The 18,578-nt window shown below is 38.5% G+C and overlaps 1 protein-coding gene and 1 long non-coding RNA gene across 11 annotated transcripts in view, besides 2 other annotated features; one reads left to right on the plus strand and one right to left on the minus strand.

Annotated features, from left to right (window-relative positions):
- The window catches only part of TAF1A (TATA-box binding protein associated factor, RNA polymerase I subunit A), a 35,829-nt gene extending 35,131 nt beyond the window's left edge, over positions 1-698 (minus strand). For all 9 annotated transcript variants that reach the window (XR_007064852.1, XR_007064851.1, NM_139352.2 and 6 more), the window contains exon 1: positions 492-698. The gene's annotated coding sequence lies outside the window, so the exon portion shown is untranslated. The remainder of the gene's footprint in view (positions 1-491) is intronic.
- Positions 665-1,198: an enhancer, noted in NCBI's record as "NANOG-H3K27ac hESC enhancer chr1:222763242-222763775 (GRCh37/hg19 assembly coordinates)". NCBI's record gives its function as "activates a minimal SCP1, AML or CMV promoter by ChIP-STARR-seq in primed H9 embryonic stem cells {active_cell/tissue: H9 hESC(primed)}" and the evidence as "EXISTENCE:reporter gene assay evidence [ECO:0000049][PMID:30033119]".
- TAF1A-AS1 (TAF1A antisense RNA 1) lies at positions 685-3,398 on the plus strand. Of its 2 annotated transcripts, NR_110613.1 has the most exons (3): positions 685-727; positions 1,023-1,172; positions 2,931-3,398. It is a non-coding gene; the product is annotated as a TAF1A antisense RNA 1 (long non-coding RNA). The 2 variants fall into 2 exon arrangements; NR_110614.1 differs by having other exon boundaries at positions 724-1,172.
- Positions 1,199-1,731: an enhancer, noted in NCBI's record as "H3K27ac hESC enhancer chr1:222763776-222764308 (GRCh37/hg19 assembly coordinates)". NCBI's record gives its function as "activates a minimal SCP1, AML or CMV promoter by ChIP-STARR-seq in primed H9 embryonic stem cells {active_cell/tissue: H9 hESC(primed)}" and the evidence as "EXISTENCE:reporter gene assay evidence [ECO:0000049][PMID:30033119]".
- Positions 3,399-18,578: the final 15,180 nt, after the last annotated feature.

An 18,578-nucleotide genomic window follows, 5' to 3' on the forward strand; every position in this document is an offset into this window, starting at 1 on the left:
TACCCATATGAAATCGAGTATTAGTGCCCCTGATACTACCTCCAAATTTCCCCTATTTCCCCTCTTCAATCCTACAGCACTACTCTAGTTCAAGACCCCTTCAAACAGTGCCTAGATTACCGCATCAGCTTTCTAAACAATTACCCTGGCTCAGATTTTGCATCTCTGCATTATACCCAGAGTAAACCTTCTAAATTCAAAGCATGTGGCTAGGAGTATGAATTATAAGTAACAACTGAATTTGAATCCGACCCATCACGTGTTTTCAGGAGTAGTTACACAAATCCTCCCTTTCCAAATCCTCAAAAACCCAAATTGGTGACCCGCAGTTGCCACGGCAACCAAAGCTTCTCTATCCCCTTCTTTCGTTTTCAGACCCCAAGGGTTTCAGGTATTAGGAGGAAATATCAGGAGAACATGGATGAATCCTGACACACCCCTTCCCGTTCCATTTAAACGCAGGAACCACGGGCGATATCTGCGGCACTTACCCGCCTAAATTTAGAGCTCCTCAGTAAAGCTAAACTCAGTCTCCGACTCCGGCCCACGTGAAGAAATTCCCACCGGAAGACGAGTTAGGAGAGCTTTATATGAGCAGGCGCTAAACCTGGTTTAGGTATTTAGGCAGCGCGCGGCCCGGCTCGTAACTCCTCCTGCTGCAGCAGGCGTATCGTTGGCCTCGCCTCGACCCCGGAAGTGACTTCTGGAAGTGACCCAGGAAGTGACAGTGAGCTGCCTCTCTGCGATTGGTTTTGCCCGAGTTTTATTTTTGTCTGTCTCAGCTAGAAAGTGGGAGACTTTCATTTAAAATGGAAATTGGGGCGAGGGGTTGGCGGCTGGGCGAAGGGAGCATTCAAAAGCGGAGAATGTCACTTTACCCGAGAAATTCACTACGATGGGCCATTGGTTTCTGCTCGGCTCGCAGGCGCACTGCACGAGTGGAGGTGTGGCTAGTGGCTGTGATGAGATAAATCCATGCATAGCCTTTTCATTGCGAGCTTGAAAGTTCTTTTCTATTACAGTTTTAGCTTTAGGTTTAATTGGTTCGACTGCCTTCTCCACAATTTGGGCGAGAATTTCCTTTGCCTTCTCAGCAAAAGTTGTTCTGCGGACCCGTCTGGGTCAACTTTCATGAGGGACATTGAGACAAACAAATGAAATATGGGTTAAAGGTAAGATGGTTAAACCGTGTGAAATGAGAGACAGTTGAGGGGTTCTAGGGAAGATGATCCCGGAAAAGGACTGCAGGCCCATGGAAACGCAGTGTGCTTCTCCAATATTTGGAGGGCTGATCAGTGAAAGAAGGATCAGACCCTTTTTCTTAGCAGCAGAGAACAGAACTAGGACTAATAAGTGAAAGGTAAAGGGAGGCTGCTTTCAAGTCACAGCAAGAAAGAATTTTGTCCACAAATGAGGATGCACAAATATAGCATAGGCTCCCCCAGGAATCACTGAGTTTCCTCTGTGTAGGTGAACAGTTTGAGTAGAATCGGAGTATCGGAGAGGAAATTAAAGGGTCTGGTAAGAGTTTGAGGCCGGGCGCGGTGGCTCATGCCTGTAATCCCAGCCCTTTGGGAGGCCGAGGCAGGCGGAAAGTTTGAGCTCAGGAGTTCGAAACCAGCCTAGTCAACATGATGAAACCCCGTCCCTACAAAATAAAAATAAAAAAAAATAAGCTGGGGTGATGATGCATGCCTCTAGTCCCAGCTACTCGGGAGGATGAGGTGGGAGGATCACCTGAGCCCAGGGAGGTCGAGGCTGCAGTGAGCTGTGATCACCCTACTGCACTCCAGCCTGGGCGACAGAATGAGACCCTGTCAAAAAAAATTTTGTACATGGATTCCTTAAAATGCTACAAATAGTTGATTCTATGTTGTCTTCTGCATAAAACAATATGCAGTAGTTAAGGACTTGCAAGAAAAGTTCCTTCTGCTGCTCTCTCTGTCATTAGTTCTTGAGTCCTCACTCAAGCTTGTGCTCTAACTCTACAGGCAGGGCTAACATAAATTATGCGTAGTCCAGGAGACCACACACAAAATAACATACATAATCATTACTTTCTTGTCTAGAGGCTTAGTCTGGCTACTTTTCTCCCATTGGCTTGAGGTGTAAATTCACCAAAACCAGCCCAGAAATGATTTTACATGGAAAAAAGTTTATGTTCTCCCGAAAATGAGGAAGAGCTTTCAGATTTTCCTCGAAGTTCTCAAACAGCTCTAAGGAGCAGTAGGAAACGTGCCCTACCTATGCTTTTTCTTTCCCATGCTGCAATTCTGACAGAAAATGTGTTGGAGAGAAGAGATAAAAAAAATCAACTAGATCACATCCAATAGCATAAACAAGAAGGAAGGAGGGAAGGTTGCCGTGGCAGGCATCTGTAGTCCCAGCTACTCCAGAGGCTGAGGCAGGAAGATCGCTGAGCTCAAAAGTTCAATTCCATCCTGGGCAACATAGCAAGACCATGTCTCAAAAAAAAAAAAAAAAAAGGCATGACAAATATGAAAACATAAAGCATGCAAAGACTTTTCTAGATTTCAATCTATAAGAAAACATGTCCTAAGAAAAACATGTTCTTACAATTACTTTGTGCTACAGAGCAACTTAATATGGTGATGAATTATGTTGTTTTTAAAGTTGCAAACTGTCATTTAAGGAATATTATTTCCATGAACGCTTCCTGTGCAATCTATTAAAGAACAAACTTCACATAGCCAAACAGTTGAAGAGACCTCATCATAAATAGACTATCCTATATCACAGCTAACGAGAATAAAAAAGGAATGTGGCATGAAAGCATAAAAATAAAAACATCTCAGATAATAATATAGAGAAAACCAAAATACATGGGCTAGAATTCCACCCCAGGGACTGTATCCTCAAAGACACAGGTTTTTCTTCCTTTTTCTTTTTTTTTTCTTTTCATGTTTCAGTACTCTGAGCAGCTACAAAAAGAAGACCAGTCTATCCTGCTGGAGACAGTGGCCACGTGAAGAAAGAGCTCTTGCAGTATGAAAGACCACATGGAAAGAGAGGCCACATGGAACCAACAGTCAGCATCTTGGTTTCGGACACGTGAAGAAATTCATCTCAGACTGTGTATCCTAAATCAGGCACTTGCTGAATCTAACTACATGAGTGAGACCAGTTGACAACACATGGAGCAGACATGAGCTGTTCTCAGTGAGTCCTACACAAATTCCTGACTCACAACACTGTGAGCAATAAAATGGTTGTTATTTTAAGCCACTGAAGTTTGCAGTGATTTCTTACATAGGAATAGATAAATGAAACACAAACATTGATCATTTGCATCTTCTATCTTTTTTATGACTAGTCTTATTGGAAATTACCAGTTTATTTCTGCCATGGTTAGAAAACAAACTCTGAAATTTTGATACTTTAAAATTTTTTTGAGACTTACTGTGCCCAGAATATAGTCTATCTTGGTGAATGTTCTGTGAGCACTAGACAAGAATATGTATTCTGTAGTTATTGAGCATTGTGTCCATCAATGTCAACGTGATTAAGGTGGTTAATAGTTGTCTTCAGATCTTCTATATTGTATTGATTGTTTTATGTGTAGTGTTGCTATTAATTATTGATACAGGAGTGTAAAACTTAAACTATGGCTGTGAATTTGCCACTTACTTTAGTTTTGTCAGCTTTTCTTTTGCATTTTTGAAGCTCTGTTATTGGGCATATAAACATTTATGGTTCGTGTGTCTTCCTGATGAATTGACCATTTTATCATTATGAAATGTCTTTATTGCTGATAATACTCCTTATCTTGAAGTCTAATTCATCCGATATTAGTATAGCCACTGCAGCCTTCCTAGCTTACTGTTTACTGGTATATTTTTATCCATGTTTTTACTTTCAACCTGTGTTTTTTAATTTAATGTGCTTCTCTTATAGACAACAGATAGTTGAGTTTGTCTATCATTTTGCTATTTGTTTTCGATTTGTCCCATTCAGTTTTGTGTTCCTTTGTTCTTTACTTCCTGCTTTCTTTTGGGTTAATTAATGTTTTTATATTTCATCTTAATTCCTCTGTTGGCTTTAACTGTATCTTTTTGCATTATTGCTTTACAGTGTTTCTGAGAATTATGATATACATTCTTAACTTATCACAGCCTTAGAGTTAAAATTATGATACTTCATGTAAAATAAAAGAGCCTTGCAATAGTAAAGTTCTACTTACCACCTCCCCAAGTCCTTTGTGCTTTGTTGTCATATATATCATATCTATGCACATTGTTATTTTTGCCTTAGTCATATGTATCGCAAAGAAATTAAGAGAAGAAAAGTATATATTACCTTTTGTGTATTTACCTACATTTTGCTATTTCCAGTTCTTTTCATTCCTTCCTGTTTGTGGTGAATTATCTTTAAGAATAGCTGTCAAAAAGTATTCACATTCTTGTATGTGCATGTTGCTTCTCCCTTTAAGAAATAGAATCAGCTGGGCATGGTGGCTCACGTCTGTAATCCCAGCAATTTGGGAGGTCAAGGCAGGTGGATCACAAGGTCAGGAGTTCAAGACCAACCTGAACAACATGGTGAAACCCTGTCTCTACTGAAAATACAAAAAAAAAAAAAAAAAAAAAATTTAGCTGGGCGTGGTGGCACATACCTGTAATCCCAGCTACTCAGGAGGCTGAGGCAGGAGAATCACTTGAACTTGAGAAGCGGAGGTTGCAGGGAGCCAAGATTGCACCATTGCACTCCAGCCTGGGTGACAGAGCGAGACTCTGTCTCAAAAAAAAAAAAAAGAAATAAGAAATAAAGTCTGTGTTCCCACCCCTTGAATCTGGGCTGGTCTTTTAACTTTGATGAACAAAACATGGTGAAAATGATGTCATACCAATTCTAGGCCTAGCCCCTAAGAAGCCATACACCTTTACTTTTATCCTCTAGAAAGCTGGCCAACAAATAAGTAAGTTTAGGGTAGATTACTAAAGAATGAAAAACATTTCAGCCAACCATCCCAACCATTTCAGCCACACAGCTGAACTACCAGACATGTGAATGAAGCTAGTTTGGAAGTTCCAGCCCTGGCTAAGCATCCAGCTGAATGCAGCCACCTGAGTGACCCCAGCCAATAATATCCAGAGCAGGAGAATCATCCAGGTAAGCAAAGCTATAGAATAGGTAGAAATAATAAATAATTATTATTTTAAATTACTAAATATATTACATCAAAAGAATAACTAAAACATTACAGATTTCAGTTTCCATCTGGTATGTCATCGTCTTTCATCCTGAAGAATTTTTTTTAGCATTGCTTACAGTGGAGGTCTATTGGTGTAGAATTTTCTGTTTTTATTTATCTGAAAATGTCTATTCTGCCTTCAGTTTTGAAGGATTCTTTAGATATAGGATTCTGGATTGGCAGTTTTTGTCCATCAGCACTTTAAGCCCTCTGATGATGTTAACTTCTTCTTTTTGATGAGAAGTCAGCTATCACTTTATTATTTTTGTCCATGTGTAATGTATTATGTTTCTCGGACTGCCTGCAAAACTTTTCTTTCCCAATACTTGGTTATTTGCAGTTTGACCATAATGTGTCTAGGTGTGATTTTCTCTGTAATTAGACTATTTGGCATTCACTGAGTTTCCTAGATTTGTCCATTTCTTTTATGATAATTTGAGATATTTTCAGCCATTATTGTCTTAAATATTTTTTTCTGTGCAATTATGCTTCTGCTCCCCTTCTGGGGCTCCAATTATATGTATGTAAGACCACTGCATATTGCTATGTACCAAGACTCGATTAATTTTTTACCTGAGCTTTAGACTGAATACTTTTATATCATCAAGTTAACTTTTTGTTGTTTTTGCAGTGTCCAATCTACTGATAAGCCCGTATTGTGAATTTTTAAATTCAAATTCTATACTTCTTAGTTCTTGAAATACGTCTTTTTTAAAAAAAGGTTTTCATTTATATGCTGATATCCCGTTTATTATGACTCTATTCCTTTAAGTCCTTGAAAGTATTTATAAAAGCTAGATTAAATTTTTTTCTGCTAATCCCAACATCTGGATCATCTCACAGACATTTTTTTTAATAGACTGCGTGTTCTCTTATGATTCACATGTGTCTCTGTGGATATCTGATAAAATTTAATAGTATGCTGGACATTTGTAGGTGATAATTATAGGGAATCTGGATTATGTTGGCTTGTTTAAACGATATTAGGTTTTGTGTGGCATGCAGCTTAATTAGTGGTGGATTCTTTGGGTCATGTCAAATTTGGTATTATTCATTTTCAGTATGAGTCTTATTTGGTTTTAAATTTAGTCCTAGCATATTCCCCTTACTCTTTTGTGTGATTCTTTCTCCTAAGACTTGGTTCTGGATTCTCAATTAAGTGCTCAAGGTATTAGTGAAGTTGCTGCACTGCTGGGCTGGAAATCTAATGTCTTCCAGCACTGCATGACCTTTAGTATCACTCTTCAGCCTTCCACCTACAGCAGGCAAGCTCTGCTAAGTCTTGCAAGGTCTCGCTTGGCACATCTGTATCCCCAGTGAATTTCCATACAGGCTTTTAGTATTACCCACTTCTTTCTCTCTCTCTCTCTCTCTCTCTCTCTCTTGCTCCCTCCCCCCGCCTTTCTCCTCTGTCTCTTTCGCTCTCCTCTCTCTCTCTCTCTCTCTCTCTCTCTCTCTCTCTCGGTCTCTCTCTCACACACACAGACACACACACACGCACACACACACACATACACAGAGAGAGAGAGAGCTCAGATATTCTAGCCTACAAAATTTCAGCCATTCCAACAAGCTTGAACTCTGATAATTTCCTCCTCAACTCAGCAAGGCCACCCCTTTACTTAAGTTTCTCCTTCCTGATTATGGAGTTCACCTGTGTGTTTTGCTCTCATGGATCAGTCATGTGCTGCCTGTTTATCAATGCCTGAAAACAGTTGCTTTAAGTAGTTTTTCTAGTTTCTTACTCTTTTGTGACAGGAAGGCAAGTCCAGTACCAGGTAACTCAGTCATGGTTCAAAGTGAACGTACTAACTTCCTTATACACTTTTCCATCATTTGTGATGGAGACACTCATTAAACAGGGCAAATTATAGAGAAACTCTGTAGTGTCTCTTTTAATGTCCATGGAAACCAAAATCAGGTGAAGGAGTAAACCAACATGGGTCTATGAAAAATAAGCTGGCCAAAATTTGTGAGGTAATGTGACTTAAATGATCATATGTTTTACCAATAGTTTTATGAGCATGAAATCCACAATAACTAGAAAAATAAACGTTAATAGATGGACTCAAAACTTTTTACTGCAATTCAATATACAGTCTTTTATGATACTTTAATATATTAGATGATAGTTCTGAAATTATTATAAAATACTAGTGAACATAACAGATTAAAGCATTCTTTCCAACTATTTTGAAAACCATTGTCATTTTCTACAACCCAAAGATTAGATACACCTTAAAATGCCCTAGAAAAGACATTTCTTAAACCTCAACAAAATGAACTTCATTCGTTGTTTTTCACCTTTGACGTGACACCGTGCCAAGATTTCTAGCCCTGTATGGAGGAGACGTTGGTCCCAACAATTAGCAGCTCCTTGATCCCATTTCATACAACCCATTCTAGCAATAAAAAAAGAAAAAATGCACATGTATTCTGCTGACATTTCATTTACAATCTATATCAGGAGTCAGCAAACATTTTCTGTAGATACAGAGAATAAATATTTTAGATTTACCTGTCATACAGTCTTTGTCATAACCACTCTGCTGTTATATAGCATTAAAATAACCACAGACAATATGTAAATGAATGAGCATGTCTGTGTTCTATTGAAACTTTGTTTACAAAAACAGATGTGAGGCTGGATTTAGCTCGTGGGCCATAGTTTGCTAACCATTGCTCTGGAGTACCTATAAATGTTTATGCTCACAATAGAGCATAAACATTTGGTTGTGCTATATATCTAAATATGTATATATATACATATATACATAAATATAATTTTAAAGATACATAGCCATATTGGTGGTGATTTTTGTGTCCAAAAAGAGATTCACTAAAAAAATTACTGATGTCATCATGCATCTCCATCATTATGACAGTCATTAACTCTACATTGCTTCTTCTGCAATCTCTAACATACAATTAGTAGATGTCAATGCTAGAAGTGAGTTTGCTGTTCTGTAGTGAAGGGCACTGATTATAATGGGGTAAATGAGATCAACCATCATGAATTGATACATATTTATTTAATTTCAATTTCAATTGTCATTCTAATGACTATGTACTACGTCTCAACCTATATTCCCTAGGTCCTAATTGAGAAACATGTGCTTTAATTAAAGAAAAAGTCCTTCACATCCATTCCAAATAGGTCAAATTGTATCCATGGTTCAACTATTAATGCACACACACACACTAACAATAGAACTCATTAAGATGTAAATTCGAGGTAAGATAGTGCAGAAGAGGGAATAAATGTGGGAATATGGAAGTAGAACAATATAAGACCCCTTTTGTGTTCTTTTTTTAACTTTTATTTTCGTTTCAGTGGGTACATGCGCAGGTTTGTTATATAGGTAAATTGTGTGTCCCAGAGGTTTGGTGCACAGATTATTTCAACACCCAACTAATAAATAAGCATAGTACCTGATAGGTAATTTTTCAATCCTCATTCTACTTCCACCCTCCACCCTCAAGTAGCCCGTGGTGTTCTTAATTTGTGCCCATGTGTACTCAATGTTTAGCTGCCATTTATGAGTGAGAACATACAGTAATTGGTTTTCTGTTTCTGCATTAGTTAGCTTAGGGTAATGGCCTCCAGCTCTATCCATGTTGCTGCAAAGAACATGATCTCATTCTTTCTTATGGCTGCATAGTATTCCGTGGTCTTCCATGGTATTCCATTTTCTTATCCACCCTACCATTGTATAAGTATTCCCTTTTCTCTGCGACCTCACCAGCATCTTTTATTTTTTGACTTTTTAATAATAGATAGGATCCCTTTTGGAGGTCAGGAAATATAAATTCAGAAGTGTGAGACATCCTTTAAGGTGATGTTAGCTTTAAATGAAAAAAAAATTGTGAAGCAAAGTCACTTGAATCTAGAAAGACTTTTGTGTGAGACATCCTTTAAGGTGATGTTAGCTTTAAATGAAAAAAAAAATTGTGAAGCAAAGTCACTTGAATCTAGAAAGACTTTTGAGTTTCTTTGGGTTTTATTGTTTTTGTTTTTACATTGATGTTATAATCTTTTCCTTTTTGCTGGTAAAAGAAACTACAGAAAACAGAATATTTACAACCACAGGTGCTTTGTTAACTGATCAAATTTTAAGAAAAGTCTCAAGCAGTGCATCTCATACTGGGAGGGTGGTATCATTCCCACCAAGGGGGGTTTGGAAATGCATGGGAGCAATTTTTATTTTGCTATCATGACTAGGGATGCTACGAAAAGTTCATGGCCAGGGCATGGATGTTACACATTTGCACAAATAACATGCTCTGGTCCTTTACCTAACTGTAACTGTGTTTTCCTACAGTTCTGTCTAAAGGGATAAGGGCTTTCCCGAAGTCACATTATTTTCTTATCCATTTAAATGCAATGTTTAATTATTTTATGTGTCATGAATAGTAAATGTATTCAAGATAATTATGAGAAGCGATAAAAGCATGACTAGTATAGGAGCTTAATGATGGCTTCTAGCTTATACTTTTTAATGGAAGACTTCACATTCATCTGAAATGATGATAAAATCCTCAGATGTCCCAAAAAATATCTCAACCTCTGATTGCAAACCAAAAACTAAGGTTTTTCAGATAGCCATCATCATTCTTTCTCTCTTCTGCAGAAGTTCCAAGAGAGCTTGGCCAGAAATATTTTAAATACTAAATGCAAGTTGAAGCTTTGCTTTTCTTTAAAAATAGTGTATAGAAAATAATGTACAAATATATAGTGTGAATCTGGTGTTAATTTCCAATCCCTAGTTTCTAGAGCTGTGGCTGTCTTTAAATGTGCCTAGTCTGCATTGAAATGTGCAGTAAATGTAAAATACACTTCAGATTTCAAAGACTCCATGTGAAATAAAGACTGTAAAAGATCTCATAATTTTTATATTGATAATGAGTTGAAATGATAATTTGCATAGATTTGGTTAAATAGAACATATTATTAAAGTTAAGATCACCTATTTTGTTTTACTTTTTTAAATGTGACTTCTAGAAAATTCAAATTGCATATGTAGCTAACACATTTCTATTGGACAGCATTGTACTAGGGAATCAGTGAGAAATAAGCGAAAGCAGGTCATGTTTAGATGCTGTATTTAATCATTCTGGTTGGATGTCATTCACTGATCCTCTTATGTATTCCACACCATTTCACATTCCGCATGGATTTAGATAGCAGTGAACTTCCATACCAATTACAGAGTACTCTTATTTTTTCTGTGTCAGTTGATCAGTATCCACACTTGAGTATAGCTTTCATAATGGTACTTATGTTCCTGTTTCTAATTTTATCCTACATGTATCAATTAAAACGCTGAAGATTCAGGAGGTTTGTCTCAATGTATGATCTATAACAAATCAGCTGTGATTGTATGATATTCTCAGAAATCTATTTTCTCCTTCTCAGTTCTCAGTGTCTCCTCTAGAATGCAGTTTCAATCTTCCAACCACAGCTTGGGAGGCTGTTCCAGCCTTGCTGACTTTTAGTAAGAAGAAAACAGTTTCCAGTGAAGGTACTATCTAAAAATGTCTCCTTTGTGTAGAAGTGGTTTGCCATCAAACAATTCTTCTTGCATCATCAAACATCTCTTGACTGTAGCAGCTTGCAATTTTGCTATGTAATTATTTATATAACATAAGTGGACAATCTTTTTATATAGTATCTGATTGCCTTCTCAAAGAAACACTATAAAGTTTTGACTTTAGCCCCAATTTTCTAGAAGAGAGATCTGAGACTCAGAAAAGCTAATGGCTTGCCTATAGTCACACAATTAGACTTCTGATTCCTAGCCAATGCTTTTGACTCTATTCCCTGCCTCCACTGTTGCCCTGGTAGGAAAGTAATTTATATCTGAAAATTACATGGAAAAGCCAAACTGTGGAAATTGAGTTGTACAGGCCACACCCTGGAATCTGTTGTACATTTGTTTCAAAGCACCAAATATTTGACTTCTGTGGAAATGGTGCCAAGGTAAATTAGGTGGAACCGGAAACAGGAACTTGCATATATGTCTGTATATTAGTAGCAATTTGAAATGTTTGAGTTTCTTTCTTTGTACAATAGAAATTGGAATAATATTTGCCATGACTAGACAAATAGTACAGGCTGAAAGACCTTATATTATAGATGACTCATTCCCAATAGATCATACCCTTTGACATGACTTTTTAGTTGTTGGGAGGGATTTTTCCCTATTAACCATGCCCAACACAAACTTCTGTTCTTACTGGCTTTCAGAACAAGATACTTGCATAAATTTCCCTGCAGTTATATGCTCCCTTTACTTAAAATCTGATAGCTTTCTGTATTTTATTCTATTAAATCTAAATCCTCATGCTTTTCAAGAGCTCTCAATAATCTGACCCATCCTAGCCACACAAACTTGTCTCCACTTTTTTTTTTTTCTTTTTTTTTTTTTTTTTTGAGATGGAGCCTCACTCTGTCACTCACGCTGGAATGTAGTGGCGCGATCTCGGCTCACTGTAACCTCTGTCTCCTGGGTTCAGCTATTCTCCTGCCTCAGCCACCACCTGGGCTAATTTTTTGTATTTTTAGTAGAGACTGGGTTTCACCGTGTTGGCCAGGCTGGTCTTGAACTCCTGATCTCAGGTGAGCCACCCGCCTCGGCCTCCCAAAGTGTTGGGATTACAGGTGTGAGCCACCACACCCAGCCTGTCTGCCACTTTTCTAATAGAACTCTTTCACTCTAGTAAGTTTAGGTCTCTGTACCGTCCTTTAAACAAATTGCTTTCTGCTACTGCTGTGTCTTTTCCTATCTTGTTTTCTTCATTTGCCCTGTCCTCTCTATTTAGAATCTAAATTCTATGTATTCACTAAGGCTCAGTTCAAATTCCACCACCATCACTTACTTTCCTCCTTCTTTTAATTCGTTAGTGCTTAGAATTTGTAGTAAAACACATCTGAGCACTTATTGTGTGGCAGGACAGGGTTCTTTGATGCCCCACCCACTTATTCTTACTGAGAGAAGTAACTGGTATTAGCAAGAGAGGCTTGTTTATCTTTTAGGAGTTCCCACTCTGAAGAATATGGATGAGGATTCAGAGTCATCCTCCACCCTCAGGGATGGAGCCAAATTTAGGGCTCCCTGGGTACAGGCATAAAGGTGGACCCATCTTCTAGACACTGGCCAAACACACACAAAAAGCGAGAACTCGCAGAAGAGGGAAGAAAGGAAAGAGACGTCATGACGCCCAGCAGGAAATGAGATTTTGCAGGCTGACCTGATAGAATAAAGAAATGTATGTTTGTTATCATTTTTCTGACTCACTGTATTGTGACCAATCATAGTGTTTTTATTTTTACTAAGACCTTTACCAGGATTTACTTGGTTTGTAACTCTTAAGTTACCTTTAAGGATAGTTGAATTTTATCTCTTTCTGTCTAACTTAAAAATTTTCACTACATAAGTTTTTTTGACAAGTCTACTTCAGTATAAAGGATATTTAAGTATTTAAATTGTACAGTTTTGAGTTTTGACACATGCATATACACCTGAAGCCATCACCATGATCAAGACGGGGAGGACACCCAAATTTCTTTGTGTCCATCTCTTCCTTATCTTGCCTCCTTGCCCCTTCACCAGGCAGCAACTGACCTGTGTTCTGTCATTATAAATTAGTTTGAATTTTCTAGTATTCTACATAAATGGAATTATGTAGGATGTATTGTTTTTGTCTGGTTTATTTCACTCAACCTCCCTATTGCTAGTATTGATTGTTCCTTATTATTGCCCAGTAGTGTTCTAAAATTTATGATCTATTTACTTGATGATGGGCATCTGGGGTTCTTAACTATTACAAATGGAGCTACTATGAACATTTGTGTGTACAAGTCTTAGTGTGGACAAATACTTTTATTTCTCTGGAATAAATACCAAGGGGTGGAAAGACTGGGTTCGTATGATAGATGTGGTTTCACTTTTAAAGAAAATGCCAAACTGATTGTACCATTTAAATTCTAGCTAGCAATGTTATATCAATTGCCCTTATGCTTGTCAATCTTTGTTATGATCAGCCTTTCCAATTTTAGCCATTCTAGTGGATGTGTAATAATAATATTGTGGCTTTGATTTGCATTTCACTAATGGCTAATGATTTTGAGTGTCTTTTCATGTATATGTTTGCCATATGCAGATCTACTTTGGCGAAATGTCTGTTCAAATCTTTTGCCAATTTTCCCCAATTGGATTGTTCTCTTTTCTTTTTCCTTTTTTTTTTTTTTTTGAGACAGAGTTTCGCTCTGTCGCCCAGGCTGGAGTGCAGTGGCCCGATCTCGGCTCACTGCAAGCTCCGCCTCCCAGGTTCATGCCATTCCATTCTCCTGCCTCAGCCTCCCGAGTAGCTGGGACTACAGGCACCTGCTACCATGCCAGGCTAATTTTTTGTATTTTTTAGTAGAGACGGGGTTTCACCGTGTTAGCCAGGATGGTCTCGATCTCCTGACCTCGTGATCCACCCGCCTCAGCCTCCCAAAGCGCTGGGATTACAGGCGTGAGCCACCGCGCCCTGCCTGGATTGTTTTCTTATTGATAAGTTGTAAGAATTATTTATATGCTGTAAATACCATTCTTTTTTTGAGTAGATGTTTTGCAAATACTTTCTCCTAGTCTATGGCTTACCTTTCCATTTTCATAACAGTGAATGTAGAGACAGCAAAAGTTTTTTGTTGTTGTTTCAGACAGGGTCTCCTTCTGTTGCCCAGGCTGGAGTGCAGTGGCACAACCATGGCTCACTGCAGCCTCAACCTCCCAGGCCCTAGTGATCCTCCTACCTCAGCCTCCTGAGTAGCTGGGAGCACAGGTATGTGCCACCATGCCCAGCCAGCTTTTTAAATTTGGGGGGAAGAGTTGGGGGGTGGGGTCTCTCTGTGTTGCCAGGACTGATCTCAAACTCCTGGGCTCAAGCAATCCTCCTATCTTGGCCTCCCAAAGAGTGAGATTACAGGTGTGAGCCACCATGCCCAGCCAAAAGTGTTTAGTTTTATTAAGCCCAATAGATTAATTTACTTCTTTTAGAGATTGTGCTTTTTTGTATGTATTTTAAAATCTTTGCCTATGTTTTATTCTAGAAGTTTTATACCTTTAGTTCTGACATTTAGGTCTATGATCTATTTTGAGTTAATTTTTTATATCATATGTGGCAAGGATTGAAGTTATTTATTTATTTTTTAGTTATGGCTATGCAATTGTTTCAGCACCATTTATTATAAAGATTACCTTTCTCCAGTTGAATTCTCTTGCCATGTTTGTTGAAAATCAGTTGTCTATATATGTGTGGGTCAATTTTTACACCCTCAATTCTGTTCTATTGACCTGTATGTCTGTGTTTACAACAATACCACATTGTTCTAATTAATATAACTTAATAATAAATCTTGGTAAAGGCAATGTAACTCCTCCAACTTTGTTGTTCTTTTCAAAGATATTTTGGCTATTCTCTGTCCTTATTATATGATTTCCATGTAAATCTTAAAATTAGCTTGTCAATTTCTACAAAGAAGCCTGCTGAATTTTGATTGGGCTTGTATTAAATCCATCAAGTAATTAGGGGAAAATGGACATCATTACACATTTAAGTCTTCTAGTCTGTGAAGATGGCATAGCTTTCCATTTAATTATTCCTTACTTTTTATCAGCAATGATTTGTGTTCTTCAGTGCTCAGTTTTTCACATCTGTTGTCAGATTTATTCCAAAGTATATCATTTTTTGATGCTGTTACAAATAGCATTACTCTTAATTTCAAGTCATAATTGTTTATTGTGTGTAATAACACAATTAATTTTTGCATATTGATCTTTTATTCTGCAACTTTGCTAAACTCACTTTTTAATTTAGTGGCTTTTAGATTCTTTAGGATATTCTACAGTGCCAATCATTTTGTCTGCAATTTTTACTTCTTTCTTTCCAATTTGTAGGCATTTTATGTTTTTCTTGCCTTATTTCACTGGTTAGAACCTCTATTACATTGTTAAGTAGAGGTGGTAAAAGCAGACCTCTGTGACTTTTTCCTTCTTTGAAGGAAAGTTTTCTGTCAATCACCACCAACATGACTGACACTAGCAGTAGATTTTTTGTGAAAGCTCTTTATCAATTTGGGAAAGTTTCCTTCTATTCTCAGTGTGCTGGGAGTTTTTTGTTTTTGTTTTTGTTTTGAGACAGAGTTTTGTTCTGTGGCCCAGGCTGGAGTGCAGTGACATGATCACAGCTAACTGCAACCTCTGCCTCCCAGGTTCAAGCAATTCTCGTGCCTCAGCCTTACAAGCAGCTAGGACTACAGGCATGCTCCACCACGCTTGGCTAATTTTTATTATTTTAGTAGAGACGGGGTTTCGCCATGTTGGCCAGTCTGGTCTCGAACTCCTGGCCTCAAGCGATCCACCTGTCTCTGCCTCCCAAAGTGCCGGGATTATAAGTGTGGGCCACCGCGCCTAGCCAAGTTTTTATTAGGAATAAATGTGGGGGCTGGGTGCCGTGGCTCACACCTGTAATCCCGGCACTTTGGGAGACTGAGGCAGGCGGATCACCTGAGGTCAGGAGTTTGAGACCAGCCTGGCCAACACAATAAAACCCCATCTCTACTAAAAATACAAAATTTAGCTGGGCGTAGTGACAAATGCCTGTGATCTCAGCTACAGCTAATCAGGAGGCCGAGGCAGGAGAACTGCTTGAAGCTAGGAGGCAGAGGTTGCAGTCAGCTGAGATTGCACCATTGCACTCCAGCCTGGGCGACAAGCATGAATACTTGGTCTAAAAAAAAAAAAAAAAAAGAAGGAAGGAAGGGAATTTGTCAAATGTTTTGTGGCATCTATTGGGATGATCATATAGATTTTATTGTTTAATCTATTAATAAGATAAATTACATTGATTGGCTTTTGAATGATAAAACAACCTTGCATTGCTGTGATAAAATCTGCTTGGTGGTGATGCATTACCATCATTATATACTGATAGGTTCAACTTGCTAAAATTTTGTTAAGGATTACTGCATGTGTGTTCATGAAGTCTTCTGTAATGTCATTATTATAAGGTTGTTTTCCGGTTTGGATATCAGAGTAGTACTGGTGTTATAGAATTAATATGGACATATTTCATTCTCTTGAATTTTTTGAAAGAGTTTGTAGACAGTTGGTATTATTTCTGCCTTAAATGTGTAGTATAAATCACCATTGAATTTATCTGGGTCTGGAGTTTTCTTTGTTGGAAGGTTGTTTTTTCTTTTTCTTTTTCTTTTTCTTGTTTTTTTTTTTTTTTTTTGGTTTTTTTTTGGTTTTTTTTTTTTTAGATGGAGTCTTGCTCTGTCACCCAGTCTGAAGTGCAGTGGTGTGGTGCGGTCTTGGCTCACTGCAACCTCTGTCTCCTGGGTTCAAGCTATTCTCCTGCCTCAGCCTCCCAAGTAGCTGGGACTACAGGTGTGTGCCACCACGCCCAGCTAATTTTTGTATTTTTAGTAGAGACGGGGTTTCACCATGTTGGCCAGGCTGGTCTCCAACTCTTGACCTTGGGTGATCCACCCACCTCAGCCTCCCAAAGTGCTGGGATTACAGGCGTGAGCCACTGTGCCTTGCCTGGAAGGTTGTTTTTTCTAGCCACCAATTAATTTCTATAATAAATATAGGGCTTTTCAGGTTACCTTGTTTTTAACTGAATGAACTTTGGTAGTCTGTGTCTTTCAGAGGCTAAATATTTTATCTAAGTTATCTAACTTATTTCTTCTTCTAATGTCTGGAATTTGTAGTGATGTCCTCTCTCACATTTCTAATATTGTTATTTAGTATCTTCTCTCTTTTTAACCGCTGGATCAGTCTGACTAGAAGTTTATGAATTTTATTGATATTCTTAAAGAATCAACTTTCAGTTTCATTGATTTTCTCTATTTTCTTTTTGTTTTTCATTTTCTTGGTTTTTAAAAATCTTATCTTTATTATTTCCTTTCTCCTGCTCACTAGGGTTTTAATTTTCTTTTCCTTTTCTAGTTTTTTAAGGTAGAAGCTGAGGATATTAATTTGAGACCTTTCTGGTTTTTCTAATAGAGGCAAATTAGGGCAATAACTTTACCTCTAAGCAGGATTTTAGTGGCATCTCACAAATTTTTATGTTTTCTTTTCATTTTCAATCACTGTTAAACACTTTCTTATTTCCCATTGGATTTCTTCTTTGCCTCATGCATTATTTAAAAGTTTGTTATTTAGTGTATTAGTCTGTTTTTACGCTGCTGATAAAGACATACCTGAGTCTGGGCAATATACAAAAGAAAGAGGTTTATTGGACTCACTGTTCCGCATTGCTGGGGAGGCCTCACAATCATGGTGGAAGGCAAGGAGAAGCAAGTCACATCTTACATGAATGGCAGCAGGCAAAAAGAGGGCTTGTACAGGGATACTCCTGTTTTAAAAACCATCAGATCTCATGAGACCCATTCACTATCATGAGAACAGCACAGGAAAGTCCTGCCCCTGTGATTCAATCATCTGTCACCAGGTCCCTCCCACAACATGCAAGAATTATGGGAGCTACAAGATGAGATTAGGGTGGAGACACAGAGCCAAACCATATTATTCTACCCCTGGCCTCTGCCAAATCTGGTATCTTCACATTTCAAAGCGAATCATGCCTCTCCAAAAGTTCCCCAAGGTCTCAGCTCATTCCAACATTAACTCAAAAGTCCACAGTCAGCTGGGCATGGTGGCTCACACCTGTAATCCCAGCACTTTGGGAGGCCGAGGTGGGCAGATCACCTGAGGTCAGGAGTTTGAGACAAGCCTGGCTGATACGGTGAAACCACATCTCTACTAAAAATACGAAAATTAGCTGGCTGTGCTAGCACATGCCTGTAATCCCAGCTACTTGGGAGGCTGAGGCAGGAGAATCACTTAAGCCTAGGAGGTGGAGGTTGCAGTGAGCTAAGATTGTGCCACTGCACTCCAGCCTGGGCAACAGAGTGAGATTCTATCTCAAAAAAAAAAAAAAAAGTCCACAGTCCAAAGTCTTATCTGAGACAAGGCAAGTCCCTTCCACCTATGAGCCTGTAAAATCAAAAGCAAGTTAGTTACTTCCTAGATACAATGGGGGTGCAGGCACTGGATAAATAGAGCCATTCCAAATGGGAGGAATTGGCCAAAACAAAGGGGCTAGAAGTCAAATCTTAAAGCTCCAAAACGATCTCCTTTGACCCCACGTCTCACACCCAGGTCATGCTGATGGAATAGGTGGGTTCCCATAGTATTGGGCAGCTCCACCCCTCTTGCTTTGCAGAGTACAGCCTCCCTCCCAGCTGCCTTCACAGGCTGGCACTGAGTGTCTGCGGCTTTTCCAGGTGCACGGTGCAAGCTGTCAGTGG

This window comes from Homo sapiens, chromosome 1 (genome assembly GCF_000001405.40).
Source record: "Homo sapiens chromosome 1, GRCh38.p14 Primary Assembly".
NCBI classification, from domain to species: Eukaryota; Metazoa; Chordata; class Mammalia; order Primates; family Hominidae; genus Homo; species Homo sapiens.